Source organism: Homo sapiens, chromosome 20, assembly GCF_000001405.40.
Source record: "Homo sapiens chromosome 20, GRCh38.p14 Primary Assembly".
NCBI classification, from domain to species: domain Eukaryota; kingdom Metazoa; phylum Chordata; class Mammalia; order Primates; family Hominidae; genus Homo; species Homo sapiens.
The window spans coordinates 51,731,795-51,754,617 of NC_000020.11; the positions used below are offsets into that span (position 1 = coordinate 51,731,795).

Consider the following 22,823-nt stretch of genomic DNA (forward strand, 5'->3'; position numbering starts at 1 on the left):
CTTGAACTGTGTCAGCCTTATTCCAAAGCCTAGTGTCTTTTCCCCACCCCATGCTGTCACAGCTGCTAGTTCCACCAAGATTGCTATATAAAGGAAAAGGGGGAGCGGGGGAATCTCCTCTCCACCCCCAGCTTTCCTTTTCAGCAACACATTAGAGGAGCAAGCCACAAAGATGATGTCTCAGAGCTCGATATAACCTGGAGAGAAGCCAGCACACCAGCTGTCGGCAGAACGACCCCAAGGGCGCCCCCAACGTGGTTTTCCCAAGAGGACAGCTCATTGGTGCCAACATCAGCACCCCCACTCCCAGGTCACCCTCCCACGAGGCAAAGGAACACCTAGGAATCTGGGCTGCTCTGGCAAAACGAGGTGCTCTGAGGACCCCAAAAACGGCAGCTTGTCCTTCAGGAGAGCTTTATTAAACAAGGCACTCTGAGAAGTACAAGCTCCCGAAAAACTGCAACAAAAACGTCCCTCGCTGGACCGCTCACCTCACCGCCCCAGCACTCAAAGGCTGAGGCAAGGTCCCAGCCCTGCCAGCCCCCTGGGATGTCGCCAGCTAAGGTGAAACCAACAACTCACATATTACTCGTCCACCACAGACCTTCCTTCTTCCCTTGTTCCCACAGAGCAGGTCCTGGTGGGTGCTGGGGTACAGAGCTAAGAAAACACAGCCTCTGTCCATCAGGACCTTAAAGATGAGCGAGCCAGCAGGCTGCCTGCTCAGATGCTCAAAATTTCCATGATGAAACACAATGCTCTTTCTTAAAAATAGCATCCTCATTCCAGTAAACCAGCATTCATGGTGGAGTGTGGCTCTGCTAAGGTTTCACTTCTAGTAACTCATTCTTGTTGGCCCCTTTCTAAGTTGTCCAAAAGCCAGAGACACACACAGAAGCCTCAAGGAGTCCAACCACTCTCGCCACTCCTGTTTCCAAGTGCAAATCACCCATGCTGGCCATCAGTGGACACTCACTGAATACATTTTGAATGAATGGAGGAAGCAAAGAGGGAGGGGGAGAGGAAAAGGATGGGAGAAAAAGGGGAAGGAGGAGAGGAGCGAAGGAAGATTCATTTGACAGAAAGCGCATCACCGTATTTGCAGAAACCTTACTGGATGGTGAAGACTGACTCCTCTAAGAGCCAGTAATTCTCTCCCTATCCTATAATAATCTAGTAATGACTGTCTTCATAGTTGTACAGTTCTAATGAAAGATGAAAAATGAATTTAAGAGAATCACAAACTGTCAGGTTGACTGTTTATACAAAATTTTTGTTCTGTTTTGTTTTAGCAGAAGTTTCCAGACATCAAGCTATCCGGTTACAGTTATGCTATTTATTAATTACTTAGCCTATCACCTTTGTGCATATGCACAAAGTACAGGTCACTCACTGCACTATGGGAGCAAGAGATTGGAAACAAATCTAACCATTTGTTTCAGTCCCTTCCCGCTACTATAACAAAATACCTTAGACTATGTAATTTACAAACAAGGAAATGTATTGCTCATAGTTCTGGAGGCTGCAAAGTCCAAGATGGAGACACCAATAGATTCAGTATCTGGTGAGGCCCATTCCTCATGCCTTTTTTTTTTTCCAGACAGAGTCTAATTCTGTTGCCCAGGCTAGAGAGCAGTGGCACGATCTCCACTCACTGCAACCTCCACCTACTGGGTTCAAGCCATTCTCCTGCCTTAGCCTCCTGAGTAGCTGGGATTACAGGCGTGCGCCACCACACCCAGCTAATTTTTGTATTTTTAAGTAGAGACGGGGTTTCACCATGTTGGTCAGACTGGTCTTGAACTCCTGACCTCGTGATCCGCCTGCCTTGGCCTCCCAAAGTGCTGGGATTACAGGCGTGAGCCACTGTACCTGGCCTTTTTTTTTTAATTTTTTTTTAAATTAAAAAATCTGTATTACCCAGGCTGGTGTACAGTGGTACAATCACAGCTCACTGCAGCCTCAAACTCCTGGGCTGAAGCAATCCTCTTACCTTAGCCTCCCAAGTATATGGGACTAAAGGCATGTGCCACCATGCCTGGCTAATTTTTTAATATTTTGTAGAGTGAGGGTCTCACTATGGTGTCCAGGGTGGTCTCAAACACCTGGCCTCAAGCCATCCTCCCACCTTTGCCTCCCAAAGTGGTGGGGTTACAAGTTGTGCCACCATGCCTGGCCCCTCATGCCTTTTTCTTTTCTTAAGATGGGGTCTCACTCTGTCGCCCAGGATGGAGTGTAGTGGCATGATCTCAGCTTGTTGCAGCCTCAACCTTCCAAGCTCAACCAATCCTCCCACCTCTCAGCCTCCCAAGTAGCTGGGACTATAGGCAAGCACAATCACACCTGGCTAATTTTTGTAATTTTTTTTTTGTAGAGATGGGGTTTCACCATGCAGCCCAGGCTGGTCTCAAATTCCTGGGCTCAAGTGATCTGCCCACCTCATCTTCCAAAGTGTTGGGATTACAGGTGTGAGCCACCCCACTCAGCCCCTCCTGCCTCTTTTATAAGGGAATTCATGAGGATTCTGCCTTCATGACCCAATCACCTCCTCAGTGCCCAACTTCATACAACTATCAGATTTAGGGAGAAGGGATACATTCAGACCATAACACCGTTCATCAAAGGAAGACTGGTTAAATAAACAGGGATAAGCCATAAATGAAATTCCTAACCCCCTCTAAAGCATAAGGTCCTCTTCCGGTTCCAGGCACTTCGGGAGCTGTGGGTTCGGTGCAGACATGTCCAAGTCCACATACAACCACACACAACCAGGCCCGAAAATGGAACAGAAATGGCATCAAGAAATCCCAGTCCACGTGTATCCCATTTTGGTTTTTTTAAGAAGAAATTTAAAAAAGAAAGAAAGAAAGAAAGGAAGAAATCCCAGTCACAAAGATATGACTTTCTTAAGTGGGTGAACCCCAAGTTCCTGAGGAACATGCACTTTGCCAAGAAGTACAAGAAGAAGTGCATGAAGAAGATGCAGGCCAACACCACCAAGGCCCTGAGTGCACACGCCGAGGCTATCAAGACCCTTGTAAAGTCCAAAGAGGTTAAGCCCAAGATCTCAAAGGGTGTCGGCAGCAAAATTCATCGACTTGCCTACATTGCCCACTCCAAACTTGGGACGCATGCTCATGCCCGCACTGCTAAGGGTCTTAGGCTGTGCTGGCCAAAGGCCAAGAATCAAACCAAGGCCCAGACTGCAGCTCCAGCTTCAGTTCCAGCTCAGGCTCTCAAAAGTGCCCACGCCCCTAAAAGGCTTCAGAGTAGAGATCTCCATCTGCAAACATGAGGACAGAAGGATTGGTATGACCTCTGGGCTGCCGTCTGCATGGGGTTGGTATCTTCCTGTGCTATTTGTACAAATAAGCCTGAGGCAGGGGGAAACAAACAAAAAAAAGAATAAAATAGCGCTGTGTGCACAAAATGACCCAATCTGCAAAATACACAAAACCGAAAAGCAAGGGGCTAAAAGGTGTGTGTAGGATGCTATTCTTTGCACGAAAGCAAGAGGACATACATGCAGGGAGACGCTTGCATGAGCACAGACAATCTCCACGACGAGCTAATAACACTGGCTCCCTTTCAGGAAGAAGGAGTAGGGAGAACTTTTCCTGTATATTCTTTTAGTAAGATTTGCATTTTTTACATTCTACACATATTGTCTATGGGACTAAATGTTTCTGCAGCTAAATTCATAAGAGTAAGCATTATTTTATTAAGCGCTTACCCGGTACAAAGTACTATTCTAGGTCCTCTGGGACCAAACATTGGAACAGAATCCTTGCCTTCTCCTTCCTCACAATCTCATTGCAAAACTGGAGTGTTTGGCACAGGATAAAATAAGAACTTTGTGTTACCTGAGCCAAAAGCCCATCTCATTTAACCAATTTGATTGTTACCACATTCATTCAGTCTTCACCTGCACTGAATATAACTTACACCTTTTAATACAGGACTTATTTGACTTTCAAGTCAATAGATACTGAACACTTAGTAACAACAACAAGGCAAGTAATAGCAGCTTCCTTTTTGTCACTCCTCCATTCCCAAAGTGTGCCCTGAGTGTTTGCACAGTGGCCAGCCCTCGCCTAGGCACCGGGCATTCAGTAGCGAACAGGACAGACAAGGCCCTCCTCCCATGGACCTTGTAGCCTAGTGGAGGGAGACAGTAAACAACTTCCAAAGAAAATAAGGCCAGGGGCCAGAGAGTGAATGAGGAAGGGGTGTGGCTCCGGGAATGGGTGGCCAGGGAGGTGAGGGGACAGTTTAGCTGAGTGCCAAGAAGAAGCTGCCATGCACCCATACAAGGAAGTGCAATCCAGGCAGATGGAACTGCACAGGCAAAGATCCGGAGGTGGGAGGCAGCCTGGCACTCGCAAAGCATGCAAAGACTGGCTGCAGCAGAAATGCACCCATCACGGGGAGAAGATAAAGGACAAGGAGGGAGGAGATGGGGGGCGGACAACACAGGGCTTTGTCACCAGGGCAAGGAGTCTAGATGTTACTCCATACACAGTGTGGATCATTTGAAGGTTATAAGCAGGAGAGTGGAATGATCTCATTTATAGTTTTAAAAGGTCCCCCAGGCCACTGGTCAGAGAAAACACTGCAGTGAGCAAGAGCTGAAGCAGATAATGGGTATAGGGTTTCTTTTTATGGGAATGAAATGTTCTCACATTGTAGTTACTCTTATTTTTTTTTTTGTCTTTTGTTTTTGTTTTTTTTTCCTTTTTCTGGAGAACGAGGTCTCGCTATATTGCCCAGGCAGGTCTCGAACTCCTGGGCTCAAGCTATCCTCCTGACTCTTGCTTCCCTGAGAGCTGGGATTACAGGCGGGAGCCACCGCGCCTGGCCCTCACATTGTAGTGATAGCTACACAACTCTACAAATACACTAAAACTTGCTGAATTGTACACTTTAAATAGGTGAATTATAAGGTATATGAGTTATGTCTCAATGAAACTGTTATATTAACAACAACAAAAAAAACAGAAACAGGAATTATTTATGAGGCTGGTGCCATCATCCAGGCAAGACTATAGAGCAGTCCAGACTAAGGGGGGTGGCAGTGGGGGAGTGAGGAGTAGGGTACTAGGGTACAGACTCTCGATATGTTATAGATGTAGAAATGCACAATCTCTAAAATGTCAAAAATGAAAAAGAAATGCACTGTCTCATTTAATGTTCACAACAATCCTACAAGGTACTAGCACCATTCCCATTGTTACAGTGGATAAAGTGAGCCCCAGAGGACTCAGTGACCTGCCCAAAATCATCTGCTACATCCGCTCTCTCTCCTACTAACGGGTAGAAGCAGGAATGGAGCCCAGGCCTGTCTGATCCAGACCCTGGGCTAAGAGCTCTCTGCATCCTGCACTACCATGAACAGCCTCACCTGCACAATTCTTTCACAGCAATACTTTTTTTCCCAGTCTCTCAGTTCACAAATTGGAAGCGTCTTTGGGGACCATCAAGAGTGACTGTTCGGTCCATGCAGGAGCTCTCTTGCCCCGTACCCATTCACCTTTGAGCCACTTATCAATTTACTCCCTCTCAGTGCCAACATCACCCTTGAATACCTGCTCTGCCACAATGGACAGATTTCCTTTATGCCTCTCTCCCTTATGAATTATTTCCTTTGCTAATTACACAGATTACTAATCTACCATGTCACTCTTTGCACACGTGTGGGGCCCAATATATATACATTCAGCCTTACCAAAAGTACGTAACCCCAGTTGGACTAAGAAGCGTATTCACAGAAAAAGAATACAAAAGATACTACTCACAGTATTATTGCTGGGGAGTGAAAAAAGAGAATTGTTGGATGAATAAAGTCACTTGACTTGTACTTTTTGCTGTACCCACTTCTGCATATTTTAATTTCTTATGAACATGTATTACACTTTTCAATATTGATTTTAAAGATGATATTAACTAAGCAAAAAACTAAGCAGAGGTACTGTGGTCCTAAACTTTTGAACTTGTATGCTTCAAGGACTCATACTACGGGATACAAAACCAAACACCTCCACGGGACAGGCAGGTAAAATAAGTAAGCGAAAGAGCCAGGTGTGGTGGCGCAGATCTATATCCTATCTATATGCTATACTCTATATCCTAAGTATCTATAATCCCAGATTCTTAGGAGACTGAAGTGGGAGGATCACTTGAGCCCAGGATTTCGAATCCAACTTGGGCAACATAGCAAGACTCAGCCTCTAAAACATTTTTTTTTTTTTTTTTGAGACAGAGTCTCTCTCTGTTGCCCAGGCTGGAGTGCAGTGGTGTGATCTTGGCCCACTGCAACCTCCACCTCCTGGGTTCAAGCGATTCTCCTGCCTCAGCCTCCCAAGTAGCTGGGATTACAGGAACCCAACACCACGCCCGGCTAATTTTTTGTATGTTTAGTACAGACAGGGTTTCACCATGTTGGTCAGGCTGGTCTCGAATTCCTGACCTCAGGTGATCCACCCACCCGTGACCTCCCAAAGTACCGGGATTACAGGCGCAAGCCATGGTGCCTGGCCTAAAAAATTTTTTAAAAAGTAAGCAAATTGAACTGCATATAGATTGGGGCAAGTAGGGCAGCACAAGCTCCATCGAAAGTGTATGCCTCTCGGCCAGGCGCAGTGACTCACGCCTGTAATCCCAGTACTTTGGGAGGCCGAGGCGAGCAGATCACCTGAGGTCAGGAGTTCACGACCAGCCTTGCCAACGTGGTGAAACCCTGTCTCTACTAAAAATACAAAAGTTAGCTGGGCATGGTGGCGCATGACACACCTGTAGTCCCAGGTACTCGGGAGGATTGACGCAGGAGAATCTCTTGAACCTGGGAGGCGGAGGTTGCAGTGAGCAGAGATCACACCACTGCACTACAGTCTGGGCGACAGAGCAAGACTCTGTCTCAAAAAAATAAATAAATAAAAAACAAAGTGTATGCCTCTCTCCTTTACAGTGCTCCAGTGTTAAGCTTTCTCAGTAGAGAATGCTGGAGGGAGGCTGGGCGCGGTGGCTCACGCCTGTAATCCCAGCACTTTGGGAGGCCAAGGCGGGTAGATCACTTGAGGTAGGAGTTCGAGACCAGCCTGGACAACACGGAGAAACCCCGCCTCCACTAAAACTACAAAAATTAACCAGGCGTGGTGGCAGGTGCCTGTAGGCCTGAGTCCCACCTATTCAGGAGGCTGAGACAAGAGAATCGCTTGAACCTGGGAGGCGGAGGTTGCAGTGAGCTGAGATCACACCACTGTACTCCACCCTGGGTGACAGAGCAACACTCTGGAGGGACGCGTGTGAACCACCAGCTATGACTCACCAGCCCCACCTGCACTTGGAAGGTTGCCTCCCCCTTTCCCCATGGGTGCAGACCAGTTCTGGCCCTGCAAGCCCGCCAACTTTCTTGCCATCCAACAGTCTGGACCCCATTGTCCCCAACCAGGTCTGAACCCTGGCCCCAGAGAGGGTCCCCTTCCAAGTACGTCCTTTCTTAGGTCTACTCCCTCAGTCCTAGACTGCCATAGAGTTTTCTTCTATCCTACACTCACTCTTTTTTTTTTTTTTTTTTTGAGATGGAGTCTTGCTCTGTCGCCCAGGCTGGAGTGCAGGTGACACAATCTCGGCTCACTGCAAGCTCTGCCTCCCAGGTTCACGCCATTCTCCTCCCTCAGCCTCCCGAGTAGCTGGGACTACAGGCACCCGCCACCATGCCCGGCTAATTTTTTGTGTTTTTTTTAGCAGAGACAGGGTTTCACCTTGTTAGCCAGGATGGTCTCGATCTCCTGACCTCACCTACACTCACTCTTTAATCATGGTTGTAAAAGTCAATTTCCTCCATCTTCTTTCCCAGGGGTTTAGCTGAGCCCAATCCCATCTCTGAATTTCAGGCATGATGTGCGCAGGCTCCAGGCTTAGCCAGGGAGAGCCCTGGATGTTCTGGACATGGTGACAGGCTTGAGAAGGGACAGTGAGACCCCTGGCTGGGATTTTGCTAGAAATACTTGGAAAGATGTGTTCTTCTCCCTGGGGTTGCTAAGGTAGCAGAAAACATGCCTGGGCAGGGGACAGACATCCTGTTCCCATTGAGGGACTAGTCGGCCTGAAAATGAAGCCCCCAAGGAGGACAGCAGAGACAAGAAGTTCCCGATAGCCTTGAGAGACTGCAAAGATTCACCCACCCCTGGACTTTCAGTCTCAGAGTCAATAAAATAGCTTTTGTTGTACTTTACTTTGCTCAAGCCAGTTTACTTTGTTTCACTGTTATTTATTTATTTAGAGACAGGGTCTCACTCTGTTACCCAGGCTGCAGTGCAGTGGCGAGATCATAGCTCTCTGGAGCCTCAACCTCCTGGACTCAAGCAATCCTCCCACCTCAGCCTCCCGAGTAGCTGGGACTACAGGCATGCACCACCACACCTGGCATATTTTATAATTTTTTGTAGAGTCAGGGGTCTCCCTACATAGCCCAGGTTGGTCTCAAACTCCTGGGCTCAAGCGATCTGCCCACCTCAGCCTCCCAAAGTGCTGGGGTTACAGGTATGAGCCACCACGCCCCAGCCAACACAAACCAATTTTAGTTGGGAGTCTGTCAGCCACTATCTAAAATCTTTTAAGATTCCTGTCTGGCAGGCCAGGCGCGGTGGCTCACACCTGTATTCCCAGCACTTTGGGAGGTCAAGGCGGGTGGATTACCTGAGGTCAGGAGTTCAAGACCAGCCTGACCAACATAGTGAAACCCCGTCTCTACAAAAAATACAAAAATTTTGTGTTGTTGTTTTTGTTTTTTGAGACAAGGTCTCATTCTGTCACCCAGGCAGGACTGTGGTGGCACCATCATGGCTCAGCGCAGCCTCCTTTTCCCCAGGCTCAAGTGATCCTCTTGCCTCAGCCTCCCACGTGGCTGGGACTACAGGTGTGTACCACCACTCCCGGATAATTTTTTTTATTTTTTATTTTTAGTAAAGACAGTCTCACTATGTTGCCCAGGCTGGTCTCCAACTCCTGGTCTCAAGCAATCCTCCCAGTTCAGCCTCTCAAAGTGCTGGGATTACAGATGTGAGCCACAATACCCGGCCCCAATTCTAATGTTTAAAGAGTACAGTCTACACCTTAAAGCCTGCATTTTATCATCCTGTCCTCACTGCTCTGACTTCTTTACAGTTGTGCTGTCCACCTTGGCGGCTTCTACCACATGTGGCTATTTTAAGTTTCAATTAATTAAAATTAAATTTTAATTTAATTAATTAAAAATAAATTTTAATTAATTAATTAAAAATTAAAAATTCCTTTTCCCTGGCCACACTGAGTGCTCCATAGCTACATGTGACCACTAACTACGGACTAGACTGTGCAGACACAGAACATTCCATCATGGCTGAGAGTTCTACTGGGCAACACTGCTGGAGAGCATCCCTTTCAAGACACCTCCTTCCACCTTACTCTTGAACTGATGTCAATGGCAAAGGAAGCACACACGAACATTAGTAAGTGGAGCTCACAGGCCAGGCGCGGTGGCTCACGCCTGTAATCCCAGTACTTTGGGAGGCCGAGGCAGGCGGATCACGAGGTCAGGGGATCGAGACCATCTGACCAACATGGAGAAACCCCATCTCTACTAAAAATACAAAATTAGCCAGGCGTGGTGGCGCATGCCTGTAATCTCAGCTACTCAGGGGGCTGACACAGGACAATCGCTTGAACCTGGGAGGCTGAGGTTGCAGTGAGCCGAGATCACACCATTGCACTCTAGCCTGGACAATAAGAGCAAAACTCCGTCTCAAAAAATAAAAATAAAAATAAAAAAGGAAGTGGACCTCACAATGGAGGGAAACTCGCCTGAACAGAGTTTCCCAAACTTCAGCCATTTTCATACACACATGGGATTTCTATGATCTCCAAATACCTCTAGCTTCTACCTACACAATTTTGTCTAAATTTGATCACCTTACATCAGTGGTTCTCAACTACAGGCAATTTTGCACCCCCAGGGTGGGTATCTGGCAATATCTGGAAACACTGTTGTCTGTCACAACTCCAAGATGCTACTCTCATCTAGTGGATGGAGGCAGCCAAGGATGCTGCGAGACACCTTACAATGCACAGACAACCTCCACAACAGAGAAGTATCCAGCCCAAAACGCCACTTGTGCCCAGTTGAGAACTCCTGCTCTAGGTTTTATATATAAACTATTTGTTTAAAATGGATTCACTCCATTTACATAAATGTATTTTAAATGATAGCCTCTGGCCAGGCATGGCTCACACCTGTCATCCCAACACTTTGAGAGGCCGAGGCAGGAAAACAGCTTGAGTTCAGGAGTTGGAGACCAGCCCGAGCAACACGGTGAGACCTCATCTCTACTAAAATTCAAAAATAATTAGCCAGGCATGGTGGACATGCCTATAGTCTCAGCTACTTGGGGGGCTAAGGACGAAGGATTGCTTGAGCCCGGGAAGTCGAGGCTGCAGTGAGCCCTGATCATGCCACTGTACTGCAGTCTAGGGGACAGAGCAAAACACTGTCTCAAAAAAAAAAAAAAAAGATAACTTCATGCCATTACCATAACTAGAAACCAGTATCACTTGCCATAAACAGAAGATAAATAACAAAACCAGCACAATGAAAAGCAAAGTGTGTTACTCCACTCCAGCTGGCTGCTGCAGCTGGCAGTGCCTCTGAGCCAGAAGCCTACCCTGCTGTTGCTCCTCCTCCTTTACTTTTTTTTTTCTTTTTTTGAGACGCAGTCTTGCTGTCGCCCAGGCTGGAGTGCAGTGGCGCGATCTCAGCTCACTGCAACCTCCGCCTCCTGGGTTCAAGCAATTCTTGTGCCTCAGCCACCCAAGCAGCTGGGATTACAGGTGTGCACCACCACGCCCAGCTAACTTTTGTATTTTTAGTAGAGACGGCGTTTCACCATGTTGGCCAGGCTGGTCTCAAACACCTGACCTAAAGTGATCCAGCCGCCTCGGCCTCCCAAAGTGCTGGGATTAGAGGCATGAGCCGCCGCACCTGGCCCCTCCTTTCTTTATTGCTGAGAAGTTAGCAAGTGTTTGGTGTTAAAAAGTAGGCCCTGACAGGGCTGTAAATACTGAAGGGAAACTGAAAAATAAATAAGCGTCTTGCTAAATGTCTCAATGTGAGTCAGTTCCTGCCCATGAATTCCTTAAATTTATCACTGCAGCACCCAGAACCATTGCCTGCCCAGCATTTTGGAACTGTTGTCCCACGGTAGAAACCTTGAGCTTGGTGGCAAACTTACTACAAGTGACCAAATTCCCCCACATCTGTCCAAACAAGAGAAGTGACAGCCAGCCTCCCTACTGAGGAGTGGATTTATACATGCAGTTCTCTTCCTGGGGAAGCTGCAGCCACACCCTGCGTGTTGCATGCATGGACTTCAGCTCCCTGGTGCCCCAGGGTTCCAGAGGAGCAGTGGCCCAAAGCTGTGTTGTGGCAGCTGTCACGTTGGTGTTGTGGGTGCTGCTGTTGTTCCTTAACACCAAACTGAAACTGGACCGTCTGACACTGCCATGACAAATAAACTTCCATCCCACATTCCAGACAGGCTGGGGAGATGGGCTGCAAGACCGAAACTGATTTTTTTTTTTTTTTTTTTTTGAGACGGAGTCTCACTCTGTCACCCAGGCTGGAGTGCAGTGGCGGGATCTCGGCTCACTGCAACCTCTGCCTCCCGGATTCAAGCGATTCTACTCCCTCGACCTCCCGAGTAGCTGGGATTACAGGCGTGCACCACCACGCCAGGCTAATTTTTGTATTTTTAGTAGAGACGGGGTTTCACCATATTGGTCAGGCTGGTCTGGTCTTGAACTACTGACCTCGTGATTCGCCCGCCTCAGCCTCCCAAAGTGCTGGGATTATAGGCATGAGCCACCGTGCCCAGCCCAAATCCTTTAAGAGTAAGAAATTAGGCCGGGCACGGTCGTCACGCCTATAATCCCAGCACTTTGGGAGGCTGAGGCGGGCGGATCACGAGGTCAAGAGATCGAGACCATCCTGGCCAACATGGTGAAACCCTGTCTCTACTAAAAATACAAAAATTAGCTGGATGCAGTGGCAAACACCTGTAGTCCCAGCTACTCAGGAAGCTGAAACAGGAGAATCGCTTGAACCCTGGAGGTGGAGGTTGCAGTAAGCCGAGATTCTGGCACTGCACTCCAGCCTTGGTGACAGAGTAAGACTCCATCTCAAAAAAAAAAAAGTTATTTTTCCAGATGAAAAAGGAAAATATGAAATAACTTTCTCACCCATTGATAACAGCCATTCAACTAGGTTAAAGTGTAAGTTTATAAATAACTTCGTTTACACTGCTTCCTGCTTAGACCATTTATTTATTATTTTATTTATTTTTTGTTTGTTTGTTTTTGAGACAGGGTCTCACTCTGTCACCCAGGCTGGAATGCAGTGGCCCAATCTCGGTTCACTGTAACCTCCGCCTCCCAGGCTCAAGTGATCCTCCCATGTCAGCCTCCTGAGTAGCTGGGACTACAGGCCTGCACCACCACAGCCGGCTAATTTTTGTATTTTTAGTAGAGATGGGGTTTCACCATGTTGGCCAGGCTAGTTTCAAACGCCTGACCTCAGGTGATACACCTGCCTCAGTCTTCCAAAGTGGATTACAAGCATGAGCCACCGCGCCCAGCCTAGACCATTTATATAAAGGAAAACCAAAATTGATTTTCTTAGGATTTGACTTTAAGACAAATAAAGGTTTTAACAGCAGATAGTCTGCTAACCAGATGTGCAATGGTTTCATACAATCTGGCTGAAATGCAAAAGCAAATATTAGAGGAGCAGAGCCAAGGGAACAATGTTTCTGAAAAAGGTAACTAATGTAACAAGGAGTTGGCCTCCACAGAAACCATCATCTCTGCTGGGAGTTCCCCTATAATCAGTTAGCACTGCGCAAATATTTGCTGAATTGTCTGCATGACACACCAACCTTCCAGGAAGTTACAGGGTCCAGGAAAGAACAGTCTCAGCATTGACGCTGGGCAGATCCAAGAAGAACATGAAGAAAAATTAAAAGTAGCCAGATATGGTGGCTCATGCCTGTAATCCCAGTACTTTGGGAGGCCGAGGCGGGAGAATCACTTGAGGTCAGGAGTTCGAGACCAGCCTGGCCAACATGACGAAACCTTGTCTCTACTAAAAATATAAAAATTAGCTGGGCATGGGCCGGGTGCAGTGGCTGACTCCTGTAATCCCAGCACTTTGGGAGGCCAAGGCGGGTGGATCAAGAGGTCAGGAGATCAAGACCATTCTGGCCAACATGGTGAAACCCTGCCGTCTCTACTAAAAATACAAAATTTAGCCAGGTGTGGCTGTAGTCCCAGCTACTGGGGAGGCTGAGGCAGGAGAATTGCTTGAACCCGAGAGGCAGAGGCTGCACTGAGCCAAGATCATGCCACTGCACTCCAGCCTGGGTGACAGAGCGAGACTCCGTCTAAAAAAAAAAAAAAAAAAAATTAGCTGGGCATGGTGGCGGGTGCCTGTAGTCCCAGCTATTGGGGAGACTGAGGCAGGAGAATCGCTTGAACCCAGGAGGAAGAAGTTATAGTGAGCCAATATTCTGCCACTGCACTCCAGCCAGAGTGAGATTCTGTCTCAAAAAAAAAAAAGGAAAAAAATTAAAAGCCGTTATGAATTAGTCAACAGCAGTGGTTCTCAATAGCAGGGCGGGGGGATTTTGCCCCCTGCAGACATTTGGCAATGTCTAGGGATGTGTTTGATTGTCACTACTACAGGGAAGTAGGGCACTACTGGCACGTAGTGGGTAGAAGCCAGGGATACTGCTAAACATCCTACAATGCCCAGGAGACCCCCCACCAGAGAGTGTAATCTGGCCCCAAATGTCAATAGTCCTGCGGTGGAGAGCCCTGCTCTGGAGCAGCTCTGCCCACTAGGCTTCTGTGATGATGGAATCATTCTATACTGCACCATCATCCAGCACAGTAGCCAGCAGCCACATGTGGCTGCTGAGTACCCAAAATGTGACATTTAAAGTTTATTTCAATACCCAAAGGAATATACATCATTCTACCATAAAGACACACGCACACAAATGTTCACTACAGCACTATTCACAAAGCAAAGACATGGAATCAACCTAAATGCCCATCAAAGACAGACTGGATAAAGAAAATGTAGTACATATGCACATGGAATACTACGCAGCCATAAAAAAGAACAAGATTGTGTCTTTTGCAGGACATGGATTGAGCTGGAGGCTATTATCCTCAGCACATTAACACAGGAAAAGAAAGCCAAATACCACGTGTTCTCACTTATAAGTAGGAGCTAAGTGATAAGAACTTACAGGCACAAAGAAGGGAAGAAGAGACACTGGGGGTCTATCTGCAGGTAGAGGGTGGGAGGAGGGAGAAGAGCAGAAAAGATAACTGTTGGGCACTGGGCTTAATACCTGGGTACAGCAAACCCCGGTGACATGAGTTTACTGATGTAACCTCAGGTACGTAGCCCTGAACCTAAAATAAAAGTTTTTAAAATTTTTTATTTCATTCACTTAACTGATTGAAATAGCCACGTGGTACCATTATGGACAGCAGTTGTTAAGAGGGCAGTTAGGAGTGGAAGGAGGCTGGGCACGGTGGCTCACGCCTGTAATCCCAGAACTTTGGGAAGCCGAGGCAGGCGGATCACCTGAGGTCAGGAGTTCAGGACCAGCCTGGCCAACATAGCTAAACGCTGTCTCTACTACAAACACAAAAATCAGTCAGGGCTGGGCACGGTGGCTCACGCCTGTAATCCCAACATTTTGGGAGGCCAAGACAGGCAGATCACGAGGTCAGGAGATTGAAACCATCCTAGCTAACACAGTGAAACCTCGTCTCTACTAAAAATACAAAAAATGGGCCGGACATGGTGGGGGACACCTGTAGTCCCAGCTACTCAGGAGGCTGAGGAAGGAGAATTGCTTGAACCCAGAAGGTGGAGGTTGCAGCGAGCCAACATCACGCCACTGCACTCCAGCCTGGGCAACAGAGCGAGACTCCATCTCAAAAAACAAAAACAAAAATCAATCAGGTGTGGTGGCGCACGCCCGTAATCCCAGCTACTCCAGAGGCTGAGGCAGGAGAATGGCTTGAACCCAGGAGGCGGAGGTTGCAGTGAGCCGAGGTAGTGCCATTGCACTCCAGCCTGGGCAACAGAGCGAGACTCCGTCTCAAAAAAAAGAGAAAAGAAAAAGGAGTGGAAGGAAAGGTATGAAGGGAAACTTTTGCTCTTCCTTCTAAATACATCTAAGGTCTGGGTTTTTCGTTTTTTTTTTTTTTTTTCCTGTTTAACTAGGAGAATACAAAACCTAAGTCAGGAAGGATGCAAAGAAAGAAGCGAAGTCTGAAGTCTGAACACATCCCTGCCACAGAAATGCTACTGTCTGGAGGAGAAATGGGAATATATCAATCACCTCATGAGAAAAGCCAAGTCAATGTGGCAGCTTCTCTTTAAATGTAAAGCTCAGGTCCTCTGACCCAGCAAGTCCTGCCAGAGGGAGGTAGGGAGCGATCTCTGGTCCTATGGGAGATGCACGAGGATGTTCACAGCGGCAATAGACAGGGCAACACCCCGGAAATGACAAAGGCACCCCCTGTGCAATGGATTTGTACCAATTGCAAGAAGGAAGTAGAGACATATACACTCCAGGGAAAGATCCAGGTGGTTAAATGGGAAGAAAAAAAGAAGGCAAGAAACATGTAATTTATTATTTTGTATTTTAATACCAAAATATGTGTTAATATAAGCCTAGGAAAAAGCACTGAGGAACAAACACCTCCTCTGCCCCATGACTGTTACCACAGGTGCTTCCAGCAGATGGGCAGTCAGGGATGCTGGGACTGTCGCCTTTCCCTGTTTCTCCATCTCTGAGTCTTCCCTGTGGGTATTCTGCTGCTCAGCAGACCTGACTCCTCTTATAGAAGTATGACTCGTGTGTTGACCCACTCCCACAAAGATCCTACAGCTATCAGACTCAAGTCCAAGGCTCTCACCTTCTCACCTTTTCATCTCTGCTGTCCCTTTACCAAGCCACCCTCCTGCAGCCAAGGCAGGCATGCCCCGGAACCCTATGCTCTCATCTTTCCCCACCATTCCATTTCTATCAAACTACCCAACATGTCTGTAAGACCCACTCACACCAGACATCCTCCTGCAAGCCTGTCCCTTTGTCTTCTATCTATCCTTCCAAACCCAACTCTGTGCTCTTCACAAGGAGAGGAGGAAGCAGTTCTGGGCTCTCTTAGACTCTACTGGTCTGTTTCTCTCTAGACCAGGACTGGCAAACTCAAACCTACAGGGGCCCAGCAAGCCACATAAAAAAATACATAGGCCAGGTGCAGTGGCTCACGCCTGTAATCCCAACACTTTGAAAGGCTGAGGCAGGAAGATCACTTACAGCCAAAAGTGTGAGACCGGCTTGGGTTACATAGTGAGATCCCATCTCTATTTATTTTTTAAAAATGGAAGAAGAAGAAAAGAAGAAAGAAGGAGGTGGAGAAGGAAAGAAAGAAGAGAGGAGGGAGGAGGAGAAAAAACAATGAATGAAAATAAACACAGGGTCCAGTGGGATGGGGCACACCGCCAGTCCAGTTCCTACACAAGCCTAGACCATCTGATTCTGCAAGACAAAGACATTCTGTAAGCAAATATTCAGTTATAAAATGTTGGCAACTGATTCAATTTTTAAATATTATACAAAACTAAAACCACACCAAGATATCTTTTTTTTACGACCAAAGTCAAAAATCTTAATAATGGCAAGGATGGACAAATAGGCGCTGTCACTGCCAGCAAGGATCCAAGATGGCATCACCTCAGGGAGGACATTTTGACGATGCTATCAAAATTACAAATGTACCTTCACTTCAGCCATTCCCCTTCCAGATATTCCGTGCAGTCTAACATGGGCACAAAGACTTGTGTGACATTTCTAGTAATAGTAAACCATTAGAAAAAATAAATATAACTGACCAAGCTCAGTGGCTCACGCCTATAATCCCAGCACTTTGGAGGCCCAGGTTCACTTGAGGCCAAGAGATCAAGACCAGCCTGGGTGACAGCGCCTCTAAAGATTAGATAGATAGATAGATAGATAGATAGATAGATAGATAGATAGACAGACAGACAGACAGACAGACAAATAAAATGGAAAAATAATCTAAATGACCATCAGTGGTAGACTGGCTAAACAAACTACAGTACTATTCAATTTAATACTACAAAGGCATTAAAATAATGATCAAAGGCCAGGTGCAATGGTGTGTGCCTGTAGTCCCAGCTATTTGGGACGCTGAGGCAGGAGAATCACTTGAACCCAGGAGTTTGAGACAGCCTAGGCAACACAGCCCCCACATCTCAAATAAGTAAATAAATAAATAATTTCAAAAAGGGAATGAAGAAGGTTGTTATATACTGACACGGAACGAGCTCAGAATTTTTTTTTTTTGAGACGGAGTCTCACTCCGTCACCCAGGCTGGAGTGCAGTGGTGCGATCTCGGCTCACTGCAACCTCCGCCTCCCGGATTCAAGCAATTCTTCTGCCTCCTCAGCCTTCCGAGTAGCTGGGATTACAGGTGCCCACCACCATGCCCAGCTAAGTTTGCTATTTGTAGTAGAGACAGTTTCACCATGTTGACCAGGCTGGTCTCAAACTCCTGACCCCAGGTGATCCACCCACCTTGGTCTCCCAAAGTGCTGGGATTATAGGCGTGAGCCACTGCCGGCCAGAATGTACTGTTAAGTGAACAATACATGTACTGTGTAGGGTATATTAATAATAGAATAAAAACAAAAAATCTATGTCTATTTATCTATATAAAGATGCATGGTTTTTTTGATAAATGCTTAAAAATTTCTAGAACAATACAGAAGAACATGGTAAGACTGGCTGCCTGGGGAAGGGTACAGGGTAGCTGACTAGAGAGAGTGGGAGGGAAACTGACTTTGCAATGGCTACACCTCTGTAGCTTTTAAGTATTAAACCATGTGACTCTGACTCAGTACACTTTTTTCTAATCTAAAAATAAAATAGGCCGGGTGCAGTGGCTCATCCTGTAATCCCAGCACTTTGGGAGATAGGCAGATGGCCTGAGCTCAGGAGTTTGAGACCAGCCTGGGCAACATGGTGAAACCCTGTCTCTACTTAAAAAAAGAAAAAAAGTCCAATAAAATTAGCTGGGTATAGTGGTGGGCACCTGTAATCCCAGCTACTTGGGAGGCTGAGGCGGGAGAATTGCTTCAACCCGGGAGGCGGAGGTTGCGGTGAGCCGAGATCGCACCACTTGCACTCCAGCCTGGGTGACAAAGCAAGACTCCGTCTCCAAAATAAATAAAAATAATAATAAAATAATAAAGCTCACCCCGCTGCCCAAACAGCACACAGCTCTGTCTGCAGCCTCTGATCTTGCCATGAGCTTGTAGGTCAGAGAGCAGACACCATTCACCTCCCCCAGGCCTGGCACACAAACGTGCTCCGTCACTAAGCGTGGGCTGATGACTCATTCTCCTGGGCCCTTTCACATGCCCCAGTGCCCAGCACTCCTCCCTCACCTCATGCATTTGTGTTTACCCAAGACACTCGGTCATAGGTTCTAACACAGACCTAGGCCACAGAGCCTGGCTGGCAACCCCACACAGCACGAGCCCAAAAAATTCCAGAAAACAGGACAGAATCCAGTGGAAGGCAATTTCCTAGACACCAAAACAATAAGCAAAAACATGAGTAAGTGCTGAGTGTGTGCCAAGCGCTGTGGCAAAGCCCTCAACGCGAATGACTTGCCTTGCTCCTCCCGACTGTCCTACATCAAGGGCTTCTATCCTCGCCCTCTTGTAGATGAGGACACTGCACCTCAGAGGGTCTTGCAGCCCATAAGGGACAGAGCCAGGATGTGAGTCCAGCAGGCTGACCCCGGAGCCAGCCCTCTTAGCTGGAGTCTGGCAATCTCATCTCGTTGTAGAATCTGAGAGCCACCTCTCAATTGTCTAGATGGCAACCTAGGGAGGAATCCAAATGGCAGGAACCCAGCAGAGACACACCAAGGGTCCCCACTGGCACTGCCAAGCCCACCTGCCTCCTCCCTCCAAGCCTGCTATGGCAGCTGGCACTGCTATGGGAGCGTCCATGAGCAACACACATTGGGGTCTAAGAGCTCTACGTCCAACAAGAGGCAGGAGGCTGGACGTGGCTCCTTCCTTGCAGCCATGGGTCACGCGGATAAAGAAGGGAAGGAAGAAGGGAGGGGCATCAGGAAGGAAGAATTCCCTTTTTCTCTGCAGATGAGGATTCCATTGTTTATCCTCCTTCTGGCTCCAGTGCTCAACATGTACCCTCACTGAAGCCCATTGTGGGCCCTGCCACCACTTATACCCCCAATGAATTAGGAATGCAAAACTCTTGAGATTTTTTAACGTTTCTGGGTTTTTTTTGTTTTTTTTTTTTTTTTTTGAGACAGCGTCACACTCCATCCCATGCTGGAGTGCAGTGACGCGATCATGGCTCACTGCAGCCTCAAACCCCTGGACTCAAGGGATCCTCCCACTTCAGCCTCCCAAGTAACTGAGACCACAAACATGCAATACCATGCCCAGCTAATTTTTTATTTTTCTTGGTAGAGATGGAGTCTCCCTATGTTGCCCAGGCTGGTCTCGAACTCCTGGGCTTAAGAAATCCTCCCACCTCCGCCTCTCAAAATGCTGGGATACAGGCATGAGCCACCATGCCCTGTTGCTCCTATTCCTTTTTGTTTGTTTTTTGTTTTTGTTTTGTTTTGTTTTGAGACAGAGTCTCGCTCTCCCCAGGCTGGAGTGCAATGGCGCAATCTCGGCTCACTGCAAGCTCCGCCTCCCGGGTTCACGCCATTCTCCTGCCTCAGCCTCCTGAGTAGCTGGGACTGCAGGCGCCCACCACCACGCCCGGCTAATTTTTTTGTATTTTTAGTAGAGACGGGGTTTCACCGTGTTAGCCAGGATGGTCTCGATCTCCTGACCTCGTGATCCGCCCGCCTCGGCCTCCCAAAGTGCTGGGATTATAGGCGTGAGCCACCGCGCCCGGCCGCTCCTCTTCTTTATTCACTCGCTCATTTAATCAAGCAGCCAGTATTTACTGAGCACCTACTAGGTGCCAGCCTTTGTGCTAAGCACTGGGATTCTCACAAGACAAACGAGGGCACTGCTCTCACAGAGCCTACATTTTGTAGGTGGGCAAGGTAGGAACAACAACAAAAAAAAAAAAACAAGAAAAAAAAAATATATGCTACTCAGCGGTAGGTGGCTCCTACAGAGTGAATGGTCTGGAAAGATGTCCCAAAGACACAGCTGAGCTGAGACCTGGGAGACAAGAGACAGCAGCTTACGAGCTGTGGGACCCTGGACTAGTTAATTAACCCTGCTAAGCCTCCGTTTCCTGGAAAATAAAACAATGACAGTACCTAGTATTGGACGATGCCATTAAGACAATCCACTTAAAATACCTAAGACAGTGATGCTGGCACCCAAGACACCAACGGAGTTTAACAAAATTCTTACAAGAAAAACTACTGTGTGTCACTAGAACGGAAGCCCCACACTGTCAGGGATTTCTCTCGCACGTGTTGACCACTATATCCCTAATATTAAAACTGCCAGAGACAGAGTAAGTGCTCAGGAAATATTTATGGAGTGAATAAACGGATGAATCAACAGTAGCTATTTTTAGTCTTCATGCTATAAACCTCTGTTAACTTTTCTGTGAGTGTGTAGAGATCTGGATGCCCTTTCAAACAGCCGGCAATTCTCTGAAATATCCAAAAACAAGGCCAAGATTCTTAAGCACTGGTTTTCTGTGGTATCACACACAAAACTGCATTTTTGAGTGCTTCTTTGTTGGTCAGGCTTATCCGATCCCAGTTAGGTGACTTCTCAGGCCCCGGGCAGGAGTCAGTGCCTCTCTCTACTTTCTCTTTGTTTGCTTTAGGAAGGGCCAGGATTCAGAATGAAAACATTACCTGTGGCCGGGTACAGTGTCTCATGCCTATAATCCCAGCAGTTTGGGAGGCCAAGGTGGGTGGATCACCTGAGGCTGGGAGTTCGAGGCCAGCCTGGCCAACATGGTCAAACCCTGTCTCTACTAAAAATACAAAAATAGCTGGGGGTGGTTATGCACGCCTGTAATCCCAGCTACTTGGGAGGCTGAGGCAGGACAATCACTTGAACCTGGGAGGCAGAAGTTGCAGTGAGCCAGGATGGCGCCATTGCACTCCAGCGTGGGCAACAAGAGCCAGACTCTGTCTCAAAAAAAAAAAGAAAGAAAGAAAGAAAAGAAAAAGAAAACATTACTTGTAAAGTGAAAATAAAATACAAATCAACTTGTGAGACTATAAGGCACTGGTTAAGTAAATTAGAGATGTCTATTCAAAGAAATATGCTGTCATTCAAAATGTCATTTGCATATGGCAAAACCCTGTCTCTATTAAAAACACAAAAATTAGCTGGGCGTGGTGGTGTGCACCTGTAGTCCTAGCTACTTGGGAGGCAGAGGCGGAGGCAGGAGAATCACTTGAACTCGGAAGGCGGAGGTTGCAGTGAGCCGAAATCATGCCATTGCAATCCAGCCTGGGCAACAGAGTGAGACTCCGTCTCAAAAAACAACAACAACAACAACAACAACAACAACAACAAACCCACGTTCTACATGGTTCCTAGTCATAAAACAATGTACACGCAGAAACAAACAGGAAGAAAACATCATCTGCTAAAAGGTTTGTGTTCATTGTGATTGTCTTTGAAGGAAAAATAACATAATACCAGCATTTCCTTTATCAGTTTTCTCTGTTCTCTCATTTTTCTTTTTCTTTCTTTTTTTTTTTTTTTAATGAGACTGAGCCTCGCTCTGTCACCCAGGCTAGAGAGCAGTGGCACGATCTCGACTCACTGCAACCTCCGCCTCCCAGGTTCAAGCAATTCTCCTGACTCAGCCTCCCAAGTAGCTGGGATTACAGGCATGTGCCACCATGCCCAGCTAATTTTGGTTTTTTTTTTTCCAGTAGAGACAGGTTTTCACCATGTTGGACAGGCTGGACTCGAACTCCTGACCTCAGGTGATCCACCCACCTCAGCCTCCCAAAGTGCTGGGTTACAGGCACGAGCCACCATGCCCGGCCTGTTCTCTCATTTTTTTTTACATAGATATGTACTCATTTTTCAATTAGAGGAAAACAAAGATTAGACTTTTTCACTGCTCCCCTTATAACATAAACTATTCAAGAAGAGAGTGCCTGGCCAGGCCCTGGAGCCTGGAGCCCCACAGGAGGACAGACCACCCTGACTTGACAATTTAAGCTCAGTGTTCCTGTGACTTGGCTAACCTATATGTCTAAAACTCAATCTCAGATACAGAAAAGGAAGCCAACGCTGGGCGCGGTGGCTCATGCTTGTAATCCCAGCACTTTGGGAGGCCAAGGCAGGTGGATCACCTGAGGTCGGGAGTTCAAGACCAGCCTGACCAACATGGAGAAACCCCGTCTCTACTAAAAATACAAAAAAGTAGCCAGGCCTGGTGGTGCATGCCTGTAATCCCAGCTACGCAGGAGGCTGAGGCAGGAGAATTGCTTGAACCCAGGAGGCGGAGGTTATGGTGAGCTGAGATTGCGCCATTGCACTCTGGCATGGGCAACAAGAACAAAACTCCATCTCGGGAAAAAAAGAAGAATAAATTTCTTAGGTCAGGCATGGTGGCACAGGCCTGTATTCCCAGCACTTTGAGAGGCCAAAAGTGGACAAATCACCTGAGGTCAGGGGTTTGAGACC

The 22,823-nt window shown here is 47.2% G+C and overlaps 1 protein-coding gene and 1 pseudogene across 1 annotated transcript in view, besides 4 other annotated features; one reads left to right on the top strand and one right to left on the bottom strand.

Moving 5' to 3' along the window:
* ATP9A (ATPase phospholipid transporting 9A (putative)) overlaps positions 1–22,823 on the bottom strand; it is a 171,877-nt gene that overhangs the window by 135,281 nt on the left and 13,773 nt on the right. The gene's annotated exons all lie outside the window — the stretch shown is intronic.
* On the top strand, positions 2,746–3,270 carry RPL29P35 (ribosomal protein L29 pseudogene 35; annotated as a pseudogene).
* Positions 7,176–7,470: a silencer, noted in NCBI's record as "tiled region #2265; HepG2 Repressive DNase matched - State 5:Enh". NCBI's record gives its function as "represses a minimal TATA promoter and a strong SV40 promoter by Sharpr-MPRA in HepG2 cells {active_cell/tissue: HepG2}" and the evidence as "EXISTENCE:reporter gene assay evidence [ECO:0000049][PMID:27701403]".
* Positions 11,196–11,490: a silencer, noted in NCBI's record as "tiled region #2507; HepG2 Repressive DNase matched - State 5:Enh". NCBI's record gives its function as "represses a minimal TATA promoter and a strong SV40 promoter by Sharpr-MPRA in HepG2 cells {active_cell/tissue: HepG2}" and the evidence as "EXISTENCE:reporter gene assay evidence [ECO:0000049][PMID:27701403]".
* Positions 18,055–18,665: an enhancer, noted in NCBI's record as "H3K27ac-H3K4me1 hESC enhancer chr20:50366388-50366998 (GRCh37/hg19 assembly coordinates)". NCBI's record gives its function as "activates a minimal SCP1, AML or CMV promoter by ChIP-STARR-seq in primed H9 embryonic stem cells {active_cell/tissue: H9 hESC(primed)}" and the evidence as "EXISTENCE:reporter gene assay evidence [ECO:0000049][PMID:30033119]".
* Positions 18,413–18,462: an enhancer, noted in NCBI's record as "active region_18115". NCBI's record gives its function as "activates an Ori minimal core promoter by ATAC-STARR-seq in GM12878 lymphoblastoid cells {active_cell/tissue: GM12878}" and the evidence as "EXISTENCE:reporter gene assay evidence [ECO:0000049][PMID:35858748]".